Genomic DNA, 20,984 nt, shown 5'->3' on the forward strand with positions numbered 1-20,984 from the left:
TATCACTCAGTTCACATCACATCACATCACATCACATCATATCACATCACATCACATCACTCAGACTGAGACATTTTGTTCCACTTTTGATGTAGATCCTGTCAATAACTTGTGCTCCTTCTGACTTTAACAGCTCTTCAACTGATTTCCTGCTTTCTCCCTCCCTTCTCCCTCCCGCTACTTCAACTCATTTCAGGGGCTGTATTACTTGGCCTTAAACTCTACACTTGTCAACACTGACTCACTGGTTCCTGGTGCCACTCCTTCCAGATGCTGACCACTACTAGCACTTCCTCCAATTCTATTATTAACAATAATAAAACTGATGAAGCACTGTTAAATTTGTTCTTTTACCTGGACCTTACAATCATGTATACTTGGGTGCATGTATATCTTTTTTTAAATTGTTGTTGGGACCTTACACGTCATGAACGTAGCTAACTCATTAAGCCTAATCAGATACGTAAAAGAAAAAGTTAATGATCACAGTCTAAAAATAAAATCTGAATTCTAGAAAGTCTTAATTTGCAATACAGAGCATTGAGGTCCACAGAAATGGCTTATTACAGAGGATTCTTTTCCCAAATTAAGAAAAACACTATATGATTCCTTGGCACAGAATTAGACCTTACAAAAAGAAACTCCTGGTACATGTATTTTCTTTTTTCTTTTCTTTTTTCGAAACAGGGTCTCATTCTCTTGCCCAGGTTGGAGTGCAGTGGCCATCACTCCACCTCCAGAGCTCAAGTGATCCTCCCACCTCAGCCTCCTGAGTAGCTGGGACCACAGGTCCCAGGCACACCACCATGCCTGGCTAATTTTTAAAATTTTTGGTAGAGATGGGTTCTCCCTATGTTGCCCAGACTGGTCTCCAACTCCCAGGCTCAAGTGATCCACCCACCTCAGCCTCCCAAAGGGCTGCCATTACCGGTGAGAGACATCACAATTACAGGTGAAAGCCACCACAATTACAAATGAGTTCCTTATCCTCGTTTGAAGGATAAGGAACTTGAAGGATTGTGAGTCGTTCTCAGACACGAGGTTAGCAGAGCTCCTTTTTCCGATTAATAGACCAGTACTCTTAGACTTAAGCCCTGTTGTATTCTGACTATTCCTTTTCCTATTAACTGATACACTGTTTTTTGTTTTCTTTTGTTTTTTGTTGTTTCTTTTCTGAGACAGGGTCTCACTCTGTCGCCCAGGCTGGAGTGCAGTGGTGAGATCAGAGCTCAAAGCCTCGACTTCCCAGGCTCAAGCAATCTTCCTGCCTTGGCCTCCCAAAGTGCTGGGATTACAGGTGTGAGCCAACGCACCTGGCCCAGATCTATCTTTGAACTCAAGTCCTCACATGTTTGTGTTTTGTCCTTTGCCTCCATGGGTGTTTCTCTTTCACCTAGAAATTCTCAAATTTTAGAGGGCACCCAAATCACCTGGGATACTTGTTAAAATGTGGATTCAGGGACCTCAACCCTGAGGGATCTGATTTAGTATGTCTGGAGGAGGGACTCAAGAATCTCCATTTTAACAAGTATCCATGTGATTCTGATGCAGGGAGTCCAAAGACCACCCTTTGAGAAATGCTATTTTAGCTAGTTTGAAACAAAGCTCCAGTCAAATAATTCTGAAAGTGAAAATGCTGGGGTATTATTCAATTTGAGTGTTGTGTTGCCTTGAGTTATAGGGCTCTTACACAATGTGAAATGAATAATGTGGAATGCTGTTCACTGCAATAAAATGTCAACATTTCAAGTATTTTTTCAAAAGACTTCTTAAGAGTTGCTCTTTCCACACACGGCCCTGTTTAAAAGGAATTACAGCTGCTCCTACTTTTATAGCTAGCACATCCAAATCTGCCTATAAAATATTTAAAATGAACAAAGTACAATTACAGCTATATTTACAGTTGTGTGGAACAAATCCATTGCCTTCAAAATTATAAGTCTGGCTAAGTAAAACCAACCAAAAACTCTACTGAAAACAATGGAATTTTTAAGCACATAAGCAATGGAACAAATCACATGTGGAAAATCAATAGATTTAGAATACACAAAAATGGAAAAAGTTGAAGCTCAAAAACCATTACTAAACAAGAAAACCTAAAACACAAGCCACAAACTGGGAAAATATTTGCAACAAACATTAAGAAGGGTTGATAGATTTGAAATATAAAAAAGCTCACGAAAGTCAAAAGGGAACATGGATAAAGAACAAGAACAGAGATAAATACATATGGGAAAGTTTAAGAACTTTATGGTATACATATTTTTTAACATTCAGCGTTTTAAAACACCAGTGATATATACCATTTTTGTCAGTCAAATTAAGAACGTTTAAGGGATTGAGAGAAATTTCAGTAAAATGGATAGGTACTCACAAACACTGCTAGTATAATAGATGGACAAATTGGTGTAAAGTTTTGTTTTGTTTTGTTTTGTTTTGTTTTGAAACAGGGTCTGTTGCCCAGGCTGGAGTGCAGTGGCACAATCACAGCTCACTGCAGCCTCAACCTCCGAGGCTCAAGGGATTCTCCCATCTCAGCCTCCTGAGTGGCTGGGACTACAACAGGCCACCATGTCCAGCTAATTTATTTTTTATTTATTTATTTATTTATTTATTTATTTATTTATTTATTTTTGTAGAGTTGGAGGACTCACTTTTTTGCCCAGCCTGGTCTCAAACTCCTGGGCTCAAGTGGATCCTCCCTGCCTCAGCCCCCTAGTGCTAAGATAACAGGTATGAACCAGTAAGCCAAGCCTCAAACTTTCTTTAAAACAATTTAAGAATTCTTACTATGAATGTTTTTTGAAAAAAAAAAAAATCACACACTTAGTCTCAGTAAATTCCTAAGACTCTAGTCTAATCGGAAATTTAGAAAAAGGACTAAGAACAAAATTATTATTATTATTATTATTATTTGAGACTTGAGTCTCACTCTGTCGCCCAGGCTGGAGTGCAATGGCACGATCTTGGCTCACTGCAACCTCTGCCTCCCAGGTTCTAGCAATTCTGCTGCCTCAGCCTCCCGAGTAGCTGGGATTACAGGCGCCTACCATCATGCCCAACTAATTTTTTGTATTTTTAGTAGAGACAGGGTTTCACCATGTTCCATCATGTTGGCCAGGCTGGTCTTGAACTCCTGACCTCAGGTGATCCACCCACTTCAGCCTCCCAAACTGCTGGGATTACAGGCATGAGCCACCGTGCCCGGCCCATAATTATTTTTAAGATGGAAAAATTGGAATCAATCTAAAGATGATAAAAGAATGATTAAAGAAACAATCCATGGTATATCCACATGACAATGTTATATAGCAATTTAAAATGGTTTTTTCAAGCACTTAATGGTGCTTAAAATGTTTCAGATACAAGGATGCTTTGAAAAGCAAGATATGGCATTTATATATAATATGATCCCAATTTTCTTTTAAAACATTTTTACATGCATATAAAAAAGCTGTAAATAAATAAATCAAAATGCTAACAGCTGTTATCTATGGGTGTTAAGGTTTTTATTCTTCTTTTAGTGATTATCTGTGCTATCAATTCTCTACAATGACCATATGTTACTCTAATAATCAGAAAATGCAATAAAAGGTACTTCAAAAGTCCCTCTGAAAACATAACATAAAGAAGGAAAAGTTGTCAACTTAATTAATTTATAGTTTGCAAGTGACAGAGAACACTCACCACTTATTTCTGTAGCAGGCACTGGAATCCATTTATGGAATGCCAGTGACCTTATATTCTCAAGACAACTGCTTATCTGTCTCTCTAATTGGAAGAGGGGGATATGGAGAAAAGACAACAGTCTCTAGGAACAGATGTCTGAAGGGAGTTAAACCAAGTATCAGGGTAAAGTAAAAGGAAAATTTTACTAACAATCCTTAGTCTAACTATATTCTAATTTAGAACTCTTAGCCCAAAACATTTCTCCTTGTACAAACTGGTATACCAACTGATCAACATAACTAACACCATTAATATTTGAGTGTTTTTTAAAAATATATAGGAAAGGCTTTCCTGCATGAATTTAAAATTGCAATCATATGAGTAATGTAATTTCTTCCTTAAAGGTTAGATGATTGGATAGGGGTTAATTTTGATAATGAAAAGACTGAAAAGGAATATGACACATGCTGGATTACTTCATCCACCCTACCAGAGACCAACTTTGTATGAGAAAATACTAAAGAATCTTAGTCAGGCCTCCATATTAATTTTGTATTGGTAATGCTTGATAGAGAGATCACGGGACATAGATAATTCCAGTACACTATGTTCCAGCTGAATACCCAACTAGAACCCAAATGTCTTCATATTAAAATCAGTATGGCAAATGGCCCCTTCTTGGTTGCTAGGCAAACAAAAACAAACTGGGGGTCGCTTCAGGGAATCTGGGAGGAAGGCAGAGCCAAGGTTTTCTCCCAGGTCCATGGGAGGTCATGACTTGAGCATTCCCAAACTGAAAGGGGGAAATTAGATTTGGTGAATTTCATTCTCCATATTAAAAGGATAGGTTCAAAATTGAGAGATTTCATAGGTTGATGCACTATATCTAACTGATCAAATCTCTGCCCAGGACTAGATATGCCAGCTGACAACTGGGTAGCCACTATATACAATGTATATTGTAGCTGGATTAAGGCAATGAATGAAAGAACTAGCAAAGAGTTAGCTAAGAACACTTTAGCAAAGATGAGTCTATTTTATTTAAACCTATCCTTTGGAAGTTAGCAAAAGAAAGGAGAGACTAACAGCACACATGGAAAGGCAGGTATTGTAAGGATCTTGTGAAGTGTGGGGAGGAGGGTTACTCAAATAACAGAAGAGAATGGGTGAAAGAGCCCGAAAGACAGATTTTTCTCTATTATCAATTCTGTAGACATTTTTTGAGCCAGGCATTGTGTCGGTCCTGGAGATACATAGAAAGAGGGCCTTTCCTTAAAGATTTCATGGTCTAACAGGGCACAGTGGCTCATACCCATAATCCCAGCACTTTGGGAGGCAGTGGTATAAGGATCACTTGAGCCCAGGAGTTGGAGACCAGCCTGGTCAATATGGTGAGACCTTGTCTCTACCAAAAAAAAAAAAAAAAAAAATTAGTCGGTGTGTGGTGCACGCCTGTAGTCCCAGTTACTCAGGAGGCTAAGGTGGGAGGATCGCTTGAGCCCAGGAGGTCAAGGCTGCAGTGAGCTGTGATTGAGCCAGTGCACTCCAGCCTGGGTGACAGAGCGATACCTTGCCTAAAAACAAAAGAAAAATGGATAAAGACTTCATGGTCTAGTGGGGAAGATAGATATGTGAATTACAAAGTATAGTCAAGTCCTACATACTGGTAAAAACTCTGGCAGACAACTCAGTCTCTTCATCTTTCATCAAACATTTATTTGCTCTATTGTATACCTGGGACTTAGAAACCACAGATACAAAGACCAATATGATAGGGTCACTGCCCTTAAGGAGGTTATTATAGTCTAGTTGGGGAAATAGACATATCAACAATGGCAATGGCAACAAAATGCTATGAAAGCTAGGTATAAGATGTTATGAGACTGAGCTGAGCAGTGTCTCGAGCCACCACTTTGTGAGGCCAAGGAAAGAGGATGGCTTGATCCCAGGAGGTCAAGACTGCAGTGAGCTGTGATCGTGCCACTGCACTCCAGCCTGGGCTACACTGTCTCTTAAAAAAAAAAATGTCATGAGACTCTTAGCTCTCTACAGTTATGTTTGGCCTCACCTGTGCAACTTTCTTAATGGGGAGAGAGAGATCTCTTGTAGCAGGACGAGCTGCAGACAAAACTCCTCAGACACCGAGTTAAAAAAGGAAGGGGTTTATTCGGCCGGGGGCATCCGCAAGACTCCTGTCTCAAGAGCAGAGCTCCCTGAGTGAGCAATTCCTGTCCCTTTTAAGGGCTTACAACTCTAAAGGGGTGCACATGAGAGGGTCGTGATCGATTGAGCAAGCAGGGGGTACGTGACTGGGGGCTGCACGCACTGGTAATTAGATCGGAACAAAACAGGATAGGGATTTTCGCAGTGCTTTTCTATACAATGTCTGTAATCTATACATAACATAACCAATTAGGTCAGGGGTCGATCTTTAACTACCAGGCCCAGGGTGTGGCGCCGGGCTGTCTGCTTGTGGATTTCATTTCTACCTTTTAGTTTTTACTTTTTCTTTTTTTGGAGGCAGAAATTGGGCATAAGACAATATGAGGGGTGGTCTCCTCCCTTATTCACCCACTTTGAGACTCTCACTCAATAGTGGGAGTTCTCACTTTCATTTTTACTACCTATGTCTTCTTGCAAGACAGATTGATAGTGATTCATATAGTACACTTTTGCTGAAGCATTTTGGTGAACTAAGGTAGCGATGAAGCTTTTTACCATTTGAAGAAGTACAGGTAGCAAACAAGGGAGCAGTAAGCAGGTTCCTATTACTATTATAACTCTTATTATAAGAGTTTTAAATTCTCCTAGCGCTGGGAACCATTTTGAAAACATGGCCCCAGGATCAAATCCATGCCACACTTGCACGGGCACATGTGCCAGTTTTGTCATATCTTTAACTGTGTCTTCAACTACTTGCCCTTGATTATCTATGTGTAGGCAGCAATTAGTAAGGTTAAATTTCCTGCAGACCGCTCCTTCAGCTGCTAGCAAGTAGTTGAGAGCTAATCTATTTTGATAGATAGCATTTCTCATCTGAGTTTCTTGCCAGGCCAGAATAGTCAAGGCTTTGCTGGTTTTATTAGTGATTATTTTTAAGACAGCTTGTAACTGTATGATTCGGTTGATCATGTAAATGGGGGTCTGGTATCCCTACAAGCTGTCTTGTGCCTAAGTAGCAGGCCTATAATATTGTATGATTTTCTCAGGGGGCCATTTATCATTTTTTTAAATTTCCTATAGCTATGCTTCTCTTTTCACGGGAAGCATAGACAGCGAAGCCCAGGAGTTCGTCTGTTTTTATGGGCAGTAGGACGAAAGATGGTTTAATAATGCCAATAACACTACTACCTGCCTACTGGTCAGGTAATTTGACGTAAGCTCTATGCCTACATATCCAGTATAATCTAGTGGGGGCTGTCCAGTCCCGGTGGGACTCCGGGTGGGTCCACACGGTTTGCAACTTTGGGAATTTACTAAATGGATTTCTCTCTGTGTGATTTGAACTCCACGAAGTGACTGTTTTTGTGGTACCATTATACAGTTTCTGTCCTAGACAACTAAGTCGTCTTACGGGGTGAGTGAATTCTTTTCCTTCTCTAGCTATGCAATATTGTCTAATAATTGAGGCTTTTAGGAGCTAGAAATTATCGGGGTGATTCTTTTGAGCCGGGAATTCATCAGGAACTGGGTCCATAGGTACTAATTCTAGGGCTTCCCATGGCCATTGATCTCCTATTACAGTTCCTCCACATACATAACATGAAGTGACATTGAGAGACTGGGCTACATGCTCGGCTAATTGCAAAAACAAATTTCTTGTTTTTCCGGTACTGGCACATTAGTTCATCATAGAAAGTTTGAAACACTGGCTCAGGAGAGCGTTTGTAAACTTCTCCTCAAACTAAGATATTTACTCGAGGATCCAGTCCGGTCCCGTCGATTCCTAAGGTCACACACTCCTCTTTTTTCTAGCAAGGATCAAGGGGATTGGTTGTTACTACCTCTAAGGGGTTACATTGTCCCTTAGTGCAGGAAGGGCCATTTTTTTCCTCTCTAAAGTGGACTGGATCCTTTTCATTTTTTTTTATCCAAGTGGCCTAAATGACACAAGATCAGTATTTACATTTATTTCCACACAGTCCTAATTTATGACAGAGGCACTTATTTTCTGCCGTATAGCCTCTTTTCTAATTAAGAAAACCACACCTTTTTCCTAACTCATTATTATTAATGACAGCACAGGCATCAAATTTTAAGGTGACTTGTTTGGGCACCTCTTTTTCTTCTTTTTTGGCTAACACTTTACTTGTATCATTTATGAGCCCTCACCAGTCCTCAGTCCATAATCTTGTTTTAAAAACTGTGGTCATGGGAGGCTCAGATGGGTCATAACACACATCCGGTTGGTCATTTCCTGAGCTACATACCTTATATAGAGTAACGTTATACAAACAAGTTCTTTTTAGAGTTCCAGTACACTTATAATAACCATAAAATAATAGGACCATAACAACCTTTTGTCCTACCTCAGTGACTTGATGTGTACACTGGGAACAGTCCTCAGACTGAGGAAGGTCAGTTGAAGTCCTCATGGTACAAGTCCAAATTTTAACGAAAATGAGTCCTGTGCTGAGTTTTCTCATGCTTCGGCCATGCGTGGACCAGTCAGCCTCCGGGTGTGACTGGAGCAGGGCTTGTCGTCTTCTTCAGAGTCACTTTGCAGGGGTTGGCGAATCTGCTCCCGTCCATGTACTGCTCACAGTCTACTGATGTTTAAGGATGGTCTCGGAAGTTGAGCCTGCTAGAATAAACTAAGCCTAACACCTCTACACAGTGATGTTCAACTGGGCTCTCTGATACCGGGAGCAAGATGGTGGGGTTTAGGGTGTTGCAAACTTCAATGGTTATGAGGGGATTTTCACATAGCAAGCTTTGGTACTTGGTTAATCTAGCATTTGTTAACCAATGATGTCCTTTGGTAGTCATTAAAGTTACCACAGCATGGGGGGCCTTTATATTCAGGTTTTGCCCAAGGGTTAGTTTATCTGCTTCTTGTGCTAACAGGGCCATTGCTGCTAGGGCCCTTAGACATGGGGGCCAGCCTTCGGAAACCCCGTCTAGTTGTTTTGAGAGATAGGCCACTGGCCTTGGCCAGGGCCCCACAGTCTGGGTTAAAACTCCAGCTGCCATTTTTTCTCTTTCTGACACACAGAGTGTAAAGGGTTTTGTCAGGTCAGGTAGCCTCAGGGCTAGGGCCGACATGAGTTTTTCTTTTAACTCATGAAAGCTTGTTGCTGTTGGTTGTAATAGATGTAGTTTATCTAATCTACATTTTTATTAACTGTCACCTACCAAAATACTGACTCAAATCCTGCAGCTATTTGATTTCAAGCTTTAAATTGATCTGGTATTCTTCGTGGGACTCCAATTACGTCTAAATAGACGTGAGAGTTGAAAGACCTATAAGGGCCTTCTCTCGCTTTACGATGTCTTATTTTTTTCCTTCTGGTTGATGAAATGCCAGGGTGAAAGGGATAGCCAATTGGACTAAAGTACAAGTGCCACTCCAGTTATTTGGCAGAGTGCCCAGTAAAGGTCCACTCTTGAAAATTCTTAAGCTCACTGCATCCCTTCAGGTCTCCAAGGAATGCTAAGCTTCCTCCCTGTCGTGAGAGACACGAAGTGAGCTTAGTGTTGGGAGACGGAGGCTGCATGGCCCTAGGGGGCTGACCCACAGGGTGCCGAACTTTGGGATATAGCAGAGAGAGCTTGGCACGACTTATTACTCCAGGCTGTAGAATCCTGGAAAAGAGCTACCATGCAGCCTATACCTGGTCGACTGGAGGACCACCTTAGTGGAAAGAGGACAAGCTGGGCCTCTGGCCTGCCATGTGCACAAGCATAACAACTGCTTTTGTTTAACATGCGGATGGAATATTTGATCCATTTTAACCAGGCATTTGCATCTTGGTATCCTGTCTTAATTGCTAAAGTTTGTTTTGTCTTTAACTTCTATGATCCTCTAGTAAAATGAATGTATGGTTTTAGGAAATTACAAAAACTGGTTGGGGCAGTCTATCCTTGCTCTTTAGTGGTCCACAGAACATTGGACCAACTATGGCATGAAAGCTGTACATTGGGGGGCAAGACTCCTGGTTGGAACTGGGGTCTTTATCGAAATCTCCCCGGGTTAAATGGTCCTAGTTTACTAATGCCCAGTCTGAGGAGAGTCAGGAGGGACAGAAGTACTTTTCTAAAGTAGAAAGCTGTCTTTGACTTGGCAAGTCCCCACAGGGTATAACAAGGCAAGCATTAAATGCAATAGTTCGAGGTGAAATTGACTTGGTTATGTTAACAACTAGATGGTCAGCAATAGAATAAGGAAAGGAGAAAGAGTAATAGAATAGATTAAAAGACTTAAATTTTTCTTAGCTTTAGTTTGGTAGGGTTTTCCCCTGGGACTATGGCCCACGATTCTGGAGGGGGTGGCGCTTTCTTGACTCGGGTGTGATGAGTCTATCTTTTTTTTTTTTTTTTTTGCTGTACGAACAGCACTCTTGGTGGTTAGCAGCACAAGGTGGGGTCCTTCCCAGGCTGGCTCAAGTGTTTCTTCTTTCCACCCTTTGATGAGAACGTGATCTTGAGGCTGGTGCTGGTTTATTGGAAATTCTAGGGGTGGTACATGTGCTAAAAGACTTTTAGTTTTTGAGAGAAAGTAAAGTGGACGATAAATCAAGTACATAATATTTAAGAAATTGACCTTTTGCGGGAGATCGAGACCATCCTGGCTAACACGGTGAAACCCTGTCTCTACTAAAAATATTTTTAAAAATTAGCCGGGCGTGGTGGCGGGCGCCAGCAGTCCCAGCTACTTGGGAGGTTGAGGCAGGAGAATGGCGTGAACCCGGGAGGCAGGGCTTGCAGTGAGCCGAGATTGCGCCACTGCACTCCAGCCTGGGAGACAGAGTGAGACTCCGTCTCAAAAAAAAAAAGAAATTGACCTCTTGTTTTAAATATGGGAACCTTGGCAGTGGAGTTTATAGTCCTTAGTGCTTTTTTACTGAGAAATTTCCTTTAGCACCTATTTTTCTTAGTTTTTAAACTAAAGAAAGCCAAATACCATTTTACATTTAACAATGCTTCTTGTATGATTTTTATACCAGATAAGCTAAATTTTATCTTCATATTACTGTGTTATTAATGTTAAACTTAATTTTAATAAAACCTTGTAGACATATTTATCTAATTTTTAATGTTTGACCATAAGGTAAGATTTTATAGACTTTTTTTAACCTTTTAAAATTTTTGCTAAAGAGCAAGTTGGTGCTTTAAGAAAAACCTGTTATGCTTTTACTTTAATGTCCAGTTCACAGAAAAACTGGATGATACTTCTTTAACTTTAGCTAATATGTTTACACACAGAATTTCCTTTACAATTAACGTTTTAAAACTTGCTTAAACCTTCAAAGCAATAATTTTTTCTAACTTTTTAATGTAGGTAAAAATGTACATTCTTATGCCACCTTATAATCCTTTTACCAAAGGTATATTTTACTTTTCTTATACACCTTGCACATAAACTTTTTTTTTCAATAGTTTTACATTCAGGATGCCTAGTTACTTTTAAATTATACAACATTTTTTCCAAAATTCTTTTTTATAACATTTTTCTCTTTCATGACTTTTGCAGACAATTCTTCAACATGCCTTAGCTTTGTGACTTATTACAAATATTTCTTTCTTTAAACAACCAGTTTATTTCAGGACAAGAATTTACCATATAATACTCTTTTTATATAAATTCCACCCCCCCTTTTTCCCCCCTTTCTTTTCTTCAGGATACTTCTGAACTGGTGAGGTGTGTTCACAATGAGGTTTCCTCTAAAAGTTATTTTTTTACCTTTTTTTGTTGTTAGCAAAGCAGTTGCTGCTACAGATTGAATGCATTTGGGCCATCCACGGGTTACTGGGTTAAAGATTTTTGATAGGAAGGCCTCAGTGTTTTTGGGATACGCCCTTGTTTACACTGACAAGAAAGTGGTATTGGAGTGTTATAGGGTTACGGAGAATACCTTCAATTATCAATTATAGGTATTAAATTTACCTTGTCTTTTAAAGGAATAGGGTACACTTTTTTTTTAACTACTTGAATATCTCTCTTTCTCTCTTTGACTTTGTCTCTCTCTTTGACTTTCCTTTTGCCTCTGTCTCTTCTTCTCTCTCTCTGCCTCTCTCTTTCTTTTTCTCTCTCTCTCTCTCCTTGACTCCCTCTTTGTCTCTTCCGCTCTGTCTCTTCCTCTCTCTCTTTGCCTCTTTTCCTCTCTGTGTCTTTCCTTTCTCTCTCTCTCTCTGCTGGTCTTTCCTTGCCTTTGCCAGCCGCTTATGCTGCTGTTCTCTCAACCACTGTGTGTTGGGGGTAGGGGGTCTAAAACCATCTGTAACCAAGTGTCTATGTATGGGAACTGGTCTGGGTTCCCTGGCTTACAGGTTACCTTGTGCCATACCTTTGAAACAAGGGACCTGTCCAGGCTTCCTTCTAATGGCCAACCTACCTCTAATGCTGGCCAGTCTATCTTACACAAAGTTTTAAGTTTTCCTAGTGTCATAGTACTCCATAGTCTCCTTTAAATTCTTTTTTGAAATTTTTCAACATAGTTCCTAGTAGGGTGGGCTTATTTGTGCCTGACCTATGCTTCTTCGAGACAAAACACCATGCTCACACCACATGCACACCACAAAACAAAGAACGGGTAAAAAAGAGCACACACACACTTTTGCAGTTTGCACCAAACCAAAATCAAAACCAAAATCAGAGTATCCAGAAATCCAAGCCAGGTCAAAACCAGAACCAAAGTATCATGCAATCCAAGTCAAGTCAAAAACAAAAACCGAAATGCCGGTATAGGCACACCGTGGGTGATCAGGCCATGCTTCCACTTAAATGGAGTAGGCAAGTTCCCAAGACCAATCCTGTCAAGCAATTCAAACCAAGTCAAAACCAAAACCAAAATCAGAGTATCCAGAAATCCAAGCCAGGTCAAAACCAGAACCAAAGTATCATGCAATCCAAGTCAAGTCAAAAACAAAAACCGAAATGCCGGTATAGGCACACCGTGGGTGATCAGGCCATGCTTCCACTCAAATGGAGTAGGCAAGTTCCCAAGACCAATCCTGTCAAGCAATTCAAACCAAGTCAAAACCAAAACCAAAATCAAAGTGCCGATAAAGGCACGCCGTGGGTGATCAGGCCACGCTTCCACTCAAATGGAGTGGGCAAGTTTCAAAGACTAGTCTTACCAAGTTTTAGATGTCCAGACTCCAAGTGCCTGTTCCTTCCTGGTGTTCAGCCACTGCATTGATCCTCCATGGGGGTCTGCCACACACTGCTCTGGTGAGGCATCCCACCGGGGCAAATGCCGCCTACCCGGGAGCGCTCTCAGGATCCGGGTCGCTCGGGCTGGTCGGAGTCTCCAGCAGGGATGTTCCACAGGGCAGGCTTAAACCGCCTAAGGAGCTGCCTCGGCCATCCACCAATAACCTCGCTTCCCGGTCAGGGAACCAAGACATATAGCAGGACGAGCCGCAGACAAAACTCCTCAGACACCCAGTTAAAAAAGGAAGGGGTTTATTCGGCCGGGGGCATCCGCAAGACTCCTGTCTCAAGAGCAGAGCACCCCAAGTGAGCAATTCCTGTCCCTTTTAAGGGCTCACAACTCTAAGGGGCTGCGCGAGAAGTTCATGATTGATTGAGCAAGCAGGGGGTACGTGACTGGGGACTGCATGCACCGATAATTAGATCGGAACAAAACAGGATAGGGATTTTCACAGTGCTTTTCTATACAATGTCTGTAATCTATAGATAACACAAGCGATTAGGTCAGGGTCGATCTTTAACTACCAGGCCCAGGGTATGGCACCGGGCTGTCTACTTGTGGATTTCATTTCTGCCTTTTAGTTTTTACTTTTTCTTTTTTTGGAGGCAGAAATTGGGCATAAGACAATATGAGGGGTGGTCTCCTCCCTTACTCTTTGGGAACTCAGATTGGCCTTATGGTGGCCTCTCTTTCCTTGAGGGGCACAACAGGTCCTGGATGGGGGGAAAAAAGATGTTATGAGAATGCAGACCTAGAAGCATTAGCTTTGCCTGGAAGGGTTAGAGAAATCATTTCCAAGGATATGCCATTTGATGTGGGACTTGAAGGATAGTTAGGTATCTGCTAGATTAAAAAGGAATGTGAGAGCAGGCCTCAGAGAGGAACAGAGGGTAAATCATGAGTTACTGTTTACCAGTAGTATGTGCCAGGCACTGTATTAGGTGGTTTATATGTTATATTTTATCCTTCACTCAATAACAATTTATTGAGCATGTGCTATATACCTAGCACTATGTTGAGGTGCCAATTGTCTGAATTTTCCCATGAAGATACCAAGGCACACAGAGATGAAGTGACTTTTCCAAAGCTACAGAGATAGTAAGAGATAAACACAGATTTAAACCAAATTCTGACTCTCTCCTAAACACACGTTTTCAATTCCACTCTCCCAAGCTGGATTATATAGGTATACAGGCAAATTTGGGAAATAATGAAATATCTGGTGTGGCTAGAATATATAAGGGAATGTGGGAGTTGAGGGAGGGGGTGAGGAGCAGCTGCAGAAAATCTGTGGAATGTTTCACTAATTTGCATGTTAATGTTTCAATATCTGATCATTTGCATTTGATTTTAGAAAAAGAAATAATTCCCTTTTTCCTGCCTTTCTGAGAAGATCCTGGAATAGGTACAATAATAACTTAAGTTTTTAAAAACTTATGACCCCATAATGTGGAGGGGGAAAAACAAAACAAAACAAAAAGGAATTAAAATCAATTATCAATGCAATCATTTTTTACTTGCAATTACTTTAAAACATCATAAGTCATGAATATTTATCACCTTGCTTTCCAGACAATATACCAGGACCCAACCAATGATAAGAGAACAGCTGTCTGAAGCAAATATGCAGAAGAGTACGAAATAAAAACGACAGCTTTCATGTTGAATCATAACTATATTGTGTTTGGAGAGTTCCATGTTTTCTTATTCCAGAAAACATTGCCAAAATCTGCATATACCTTGAAAACTCATTACCTATAAAATTAAATCTTGTTAAATGATCTATAAATGTGTTGAGTAGTGTTACAAAATAAAAGGAAGTGTTTTGCAATTAAGATTGAATTTTTAAGCAGTACAAACCAACAGTGATTTCACGATATTTCTTTTCTTTTTTTTAAGTAGGAGTCTCAGGCTGGGCATGGTAGCTCACGCCTGTAATCCTAACACTTTGGAAAGCTGAGGTGGGTGGATCACTGAAGGCCAGGAGTTCAAGACCAGCCTGGCCAACATGGTGAAACCCTGTCTCTACTAAAAATACAAAAAATTAGCCAGGTATGGTGGTACAAGCCTGTAATCCTGGCTACTGGGGAAGCTGAGGCACGAGAATCACTTGAAGCCAGGAGGCAGAGGTGGCAGTGAGTCAAGATCACACCACTGCACTCCAGCCTGAGACGCAGAGCGAGACTCTGTCTAAAAAAAAAAAAAAAAAGGAAGGAAGGAAGGACGAACGGAAGGAAGGGAGGGAGGGAAAGAGGGATGAAGGAAGAGAGAGAAGAAAGAAAGAAAGAGAAAGAAAGCAAGAAAAGAAGAAAAAAGAAAGAAAGAAAGGAGGGTGGGAGGGAGGGAAGGAAGGAGAAGAAGAAAGAAAGAAAGAAAGAGAAAGAAAGAAAAGAGTCTTGCTCTGTCACCCAGGCTGGAGTGCAGTGGCTCTATGACAGCTCACTGTAGCCTCCAACTTCTAGGCTTGAGGGATCCTCCTGACTCAGCCTCCTGAGTAGCTGGGACTACAGGTGTGCACCACCATGCCCTGCTAATTTTTAAAATTTTTTGTAGAGACAGGGGTCTCATTTTCCTGCACAGGCTGGTTTTAAACGCCAGGCTTCAAGCAATCTTCCCCCTTCACCTCCCAAAGTGTTGGGATTACAGGCGTGAGCCACCTACTGGCCTCCTGGTATTTCTATAAAGCCTTCAGGGCAATCATTGAAATTACCTATTTTAGGGATCCTGGAAAAGAACTGTACCTTGCAATGAGATTTAAGATATTGGTTTTAAGTTTGTAGATGTTACTGTTTAAGCAAATACTTTCCATGGAGTACCAAAGCATTACAATTAATTTGATGGTTTATAATAGGAATAAGTGAAAATATAAAAATTAGCTATGAGCATAGCACTTTCATTTTATATAATTTTTAAATAATTAAAAATCTGTGTATTTCTTGAATTTATATAATACTTTACGCTTTCATACACATTATAAATTATGTATCAGTTTCCCTTTTAGAAATGAAACTCTTATTTCTAATTATTTATAAAATGCTATAAGGCATCTGGAAAAAATTACAGTACTACTGATAAGCATTCAATTAGCCCAATTTTCTGACCTGCACTTTGGAAGCTGAGCTGTTCCAAATCTTCAGAGCCTTTTCCTTCCTCCACAAAAAAAAAAAAAAAAAAAAAAAAAAAAATGGGTTGATATAAATGTTAATGAAGGTATTGATTCATTTTTTAAAAATAATATATTTAATTCAAAATGGAAAACAAGGCACAGGAAAGACCTTAATGTTCTGAATCATTTCCGGTAAAAAAAAAAAGATACATATTACTATTTTAAATATTGCAAGAGAAATTCAAAAGAAGAAAGAATCCTTGACAACTGGTTCTCATCTTGCACATCCATTCTGTGCATCTGGGGAGCTCCAATACATAAGTATACGTTGCTGGGAGCTAGGAGAGGCTGGTATTTACATTCAGATTTAAGGGAAGTATTGCCAACCCTTTGCAATCTGTTACCTATGCTTCTCTCCTTTGTGGGATTTCTCTTCTGTAAAAGCTGAAATTCACACTAATCCTGAGCGATTATGCCATTTTAATGAGCAGTACCTGCTTTGATGAAGGTAAAAAAGAAATTGGAAAGGTTATTAAAAAGCTGCAATTTATTTATCAGCTTTGATGAAGAGAAAAGAAAGGATCTGTTCCTTTAACAGAACAAAAAGATCGTATATACTCAAAGATCAGGTAAGGGAGAAAGGAGACTTAAGGAAGCAAAGCAAATGAAGCCTTTCCATTGTGTGGCAGAATTACCTGACAAGGGACCTCTTTGCAGACATTGAATTGTTCCTAATGATGTGAATAATTTACTCCAGCCTCCCAAGGAATAATAGAGTGACTTTCATGTCTCTTACAATCAGAGTTATTAATTAGACAGCAGGTTCAAGGAGCAGCTCAAATAAAGAATCTTTGCATTCTGTGATCTGTCTGGGGTACTGTCTCAAAACTAACAAATCATCTCTCCACTGAGGTGCTATTCAGATTTTCTATGCCTTACCTTGCTTCCTCATCAACCCCTTATCTTGGATTAGATCCTTAAGGCTTGGATTTTTCATTTCCTTTGGTTGACAAGGTTCCTGACCTTGGTCAGTCCAGTACTGGCCCTATACTTCTGCGTAGGTGCAAGACTTTGAAACACACTTATACCCTACTGAGCCAGTACCCTACTGTTGACGTCACTTCTATAGAACACTGACAGCTGAAAGGGACTCCACCCTACTACATGACATCCGTTATGGAAATGTCTCTGAAGTGCATCATTATGTAGTATATTTGCAAAGCCACATTTAAAAAGGAAATATATAAAAAGAAAATTATAATCCTCAAAAGGCCACCTGTTAAAGTAACTTTATAAAAGGACTTGAAAAAGCAAAAGATTAGGGCAAGTCATTTTGCTGTTGCAGGGCTCAGTTTTACTCATCTGTACTGTGAGGGAAGTGGTCTATAATATTCCTTCTAATACAAATATCCCATGGTTTTAATTATCAAATTATTTTACTTTTAAAATTTGATGCTTCAAAAGACCCTAAATTAAGTAAAATTGAATGAAATGCCAGCCGTATGCTTTGAGTGTTTTTCTTTTTATAACACATTAAATTTAGAATAAATTTAATTGGTTTAAAACTACCCCTCTAAAATGGTTTATGTGACCCATAATTCAGAGTTTATCAGGTAGAATAAGTTGGGCTATAATCATGTATTTTCTAAAAAAAAAAAAAACTGGATAAATTGGCCGATCATGGTGGCTCACATCTGTAATCCCAGCACTTTGGGAGGCTGAGGCAGGCAGATCACTTGAGGCCAGGAGTTTGAGATCAGCCTGGGAGACATGGTGAAACCCTGTCTCTGCTAAAAGTACAAAAATCATTAGTCCAGGCACGGTGGCTCATGCCTGTAATTCCAACACTTTGAGAGGCCGACGTGGGTGGATCACCTGAGGTCAGGATTTCAAGACCAGCCTGCGCAACATGGTGAAACCCCATCTCTACCAAAAATACAAAAATTAGCCAGACGTGGTGGTGCGTGCCTATAATCCCAGCTACTCAGGAGGCTGAGGCAAGAGAATCGCTTGAACCCGGGAGGCGGAGGTTACAGTGAGCTGAGATTGTGCCATTGCACTCTAGCCTGGACAACACAGCAAAACTCCATCTCAAAAAAAAAAAAAGCGAAAATTGGATATATTAAGCCTGCCTTTTAATACCATCTTCTGCTATTTTCTCATACCATATATTCTAATACAATATCTTCTAATATTGTCATCTAGGTAATTAGGTTTCAGCATATGAATTTTGCGGGAACATAAACATTCAGACCATAGCATGTAATAAAACATACGTGCTTATCTAAGAGATTTATCACCAGCGAGCCAACCATTTTTTCAAGGAAGTGAGAAGAAAGGTGCAATCAATAATAGTGTTCCTTTGCCTTATTTTTTTAGATAAAAGTACAGTGAATGCTTCCTGTAAAATCCTTTGGTTCTAATCACAAACTGTAGAGTCAGACAAGAGATGGAATCATCCCACACACTCAGACATGTCAGCTCCTGCATTACCAGCAAAATGATCTTGGGCAAAAGTTACTTATTCCTTAAATCTTAGTTTTCTCATCTGAAAATGGGAAAAATAATGCTTTCGTTAATGAGATAGTTATTAGCATTAAATGAGATCATGTATATAAAGTTTCTAGTACAAGGCCTAGAAGAAGCTCAATAAGCAGTAGTTATAGTAGTTGCCATTTTATTCCTCTTCACTCCCTCCCACCCGCAAATTCGGCCATTGTGATTACATTCAAATTTGAAAGGCAAAAAAGAAGACAGAGTAGACAGCCATCCCATCAGTTGCTTGGTATGAAAGATTGTGAAGACCTAAGATTGTAATAATGAAAGAGTGCTAATTTCAATCTGTTTCATATCATCAGTCATAAACCAACTCCTAAATACCTCTTTGAGAACACAGCTCCATCCAGATGACAAGATCATATTGGAGCAAGAACAGTAATCCAGACAGGAGTCGACAGACTACAGCCTGACAACCCAAACTGTTGTTGTCCGTTCTGGTAAGTTTTATTGGCACACCATCATGCCCGTTTGTTTATTTATTTATTTATTTATTTTTGAGACAGACTCTTGCTCTGTCACCAGGCTGGAGTGCAGTAGCGTGATCTCGGCTCACTGCAACCTCCACCTCCAGAGTTCAAGCGATTCTCCTGCCTCAGCCTCCTGAGTAGCTGGGATTACAGGCACGCGCCACCATGCCCAGCTAATTTTTTTGTATTTTTAGTAGGGATGATCTTCATCTCCTGACCTCGTGATCCGCCCACCTCGGCCTCCCAAAGTGCTGGGATTACAGGCATGAGCCACCGTGCCCGGCTTTATTTATTTTTTAATTTATTTATTTTTGAGATGGAGTCTGGCTCTGTTGCCCAGGCTGGTGTGCAGTGGCGCGAACTCAGCTCGCGGCAACCTCCGCCTCCCGGGTTCAAGCGATTCTCGTGCCTCAGCCTTCCGAGTAGCTGGGACTACAGGAACGTGCCACCGTGGCTGGCTAATTTTTTTTATTTTTATTTTTATTTTATATGTATTTGTTTTTGAGACAGAGTCTTGCCCTGTCGCCCAGGCTGGAGTTCAGTGCTGCAATCTCGGCTCACTGCAACCTCCGCCTCCTGGGTTTAAATGATTCTTGTGCCACAGCCTCCAGAATAGCTGGGACTATAGGTGCAAGCCACCAGGCCCAGCTAATTTTTTGTATGTGTAGTAGAGACGGGGTTTCACCATGTTAGCCAGGCCAGCCTCGAACTCCCAGCCTCAAGTGATCCGCCTCCCTCAGCCTCCCAAAGTGCTGGGAATACAGGCATGAACCACCATACCCGGCTGTTTGTTTATTTATTTATTTTTGAGATGGAGTCTTGCTCTGTTGCCCAGGGTGGAGTGCAATGGCACGATTTCAGCTCACTGCAACCTCTGCCTACGGGGTTCAAGCGATTCTCCTGTCTCAGCCTCCTGAGTAGCTGGGATTACAGGCATGCACCACCATGCCCTGCTAATTTTTGTATTTTTAGTAGAGGAGGGGTATCGTCATGTTGGCCAGGCTGGTCTCAAAATCCTGACCTCAGGTGATCCATCCGCCTCGGCCTCCCACAGTGCTGGGATTACAGGCGTGAGCCACCCGCCCAGCCTGTTTATTTAATTTTTATGGTTGCTTCCATAATACAACATCAGAGTTGAGTAGTTGCAACAGACACTGTATGGCTTGTATGCAAAAATATTTACTATCTGGCCCTTTACAGGCAAAGTTTGCTAACTTCTGACTTAGGATAATCTTAGGCATATGATCGCATTTCACGTGGCGTCCTTTCCAGAGGACTCCCAAATATTTAAAACTTTTTATAAAGCCTTAATTAAACATAGTTTTAGGCCTACCCTATTCCAACCACCAAATGGGATTTAAGCTATGATAATGTTGCTCAGTGTATGAAAGGGAATGCCTCCCTGAATGAACAACTTTACATTCTATTTTCACCCTTGTTCAGGTGAATCTATGGCATTGATAAAGAAACAAACCAGTGAAAACATTATTGGTTCTGAATTACCAAAGAGATGTGTGTTGATTCAGAATGAAACTTCTTATCCTGAAACCTTCTGTGACACTTCCTAAGGAATTTCTTGGTTACTTAAACCAAATGTCCAATTATCTTTATAACCGCAAGTATTTATGAAAACTGTGGCATGATTTAAAAAACTGTGGCACCAATTTAGTCATATGGTGATTCAAACCTTTTTAAAAGTATCAGAGAAGCACTAGATCACCTTTTACTGCCTAGGTTCCGTTTCTGGCTGATTTGATTTGTTTGAAATTTTTTTTTTTTGTAATGTTTAATTTACATCTCTTTTGT

General features: G+C 40.5%; 1 long non-coding RNA gene and 1 pseudogene across 2 annotated transcripts in view, besides 1 other annotated feature; one reads left to right on the forward strand and one right to left on the reverse strand.

The window, feature by feature from the left end:
- The window catches only part of PLS3-AS1 (PLS3 antisense RNA 1), a 44,543-nt gene that overhangs the window by 13,771 nt on the left and 9,788 nt on the right, over nucleotides 1–20,984 (reverse strand).
- On the forward strand, nucleotides 13,678–13,758 carry LOC124900493 (uncharacterized; annotated as a pseudogene).
- Nucleotides 16,557–17,058: an enhancer, noted in NCBI's record as "NANOG hESC enhancer chrX:114782854-114783355 (GRCh37/hg19 assembly coordinates)". NCBI's record gives its function as "activates a minimal SCP1, AML or CMV promoter by ChIP-STARR-seq in naive H9 embryonic stem cells {active_cell/tissue: H9 hESC(naive)}" and the evidence as "EXISTENCE:reporter gene assay evidence [ECO:0000049][PMID:30033119]".

This window comes from Homo sapiens, chromosome X (genome assembly GCF_000001405.40).
Source record: "Homo sapiens chromosome X, GRCh38.p14 Primary Assembly".
NCBI classification, from domain to species: Eukaryota; Metazoa; Chordata; class Mammalia; order Primates; family Hominidae; genus Homo; species Homo sapiens.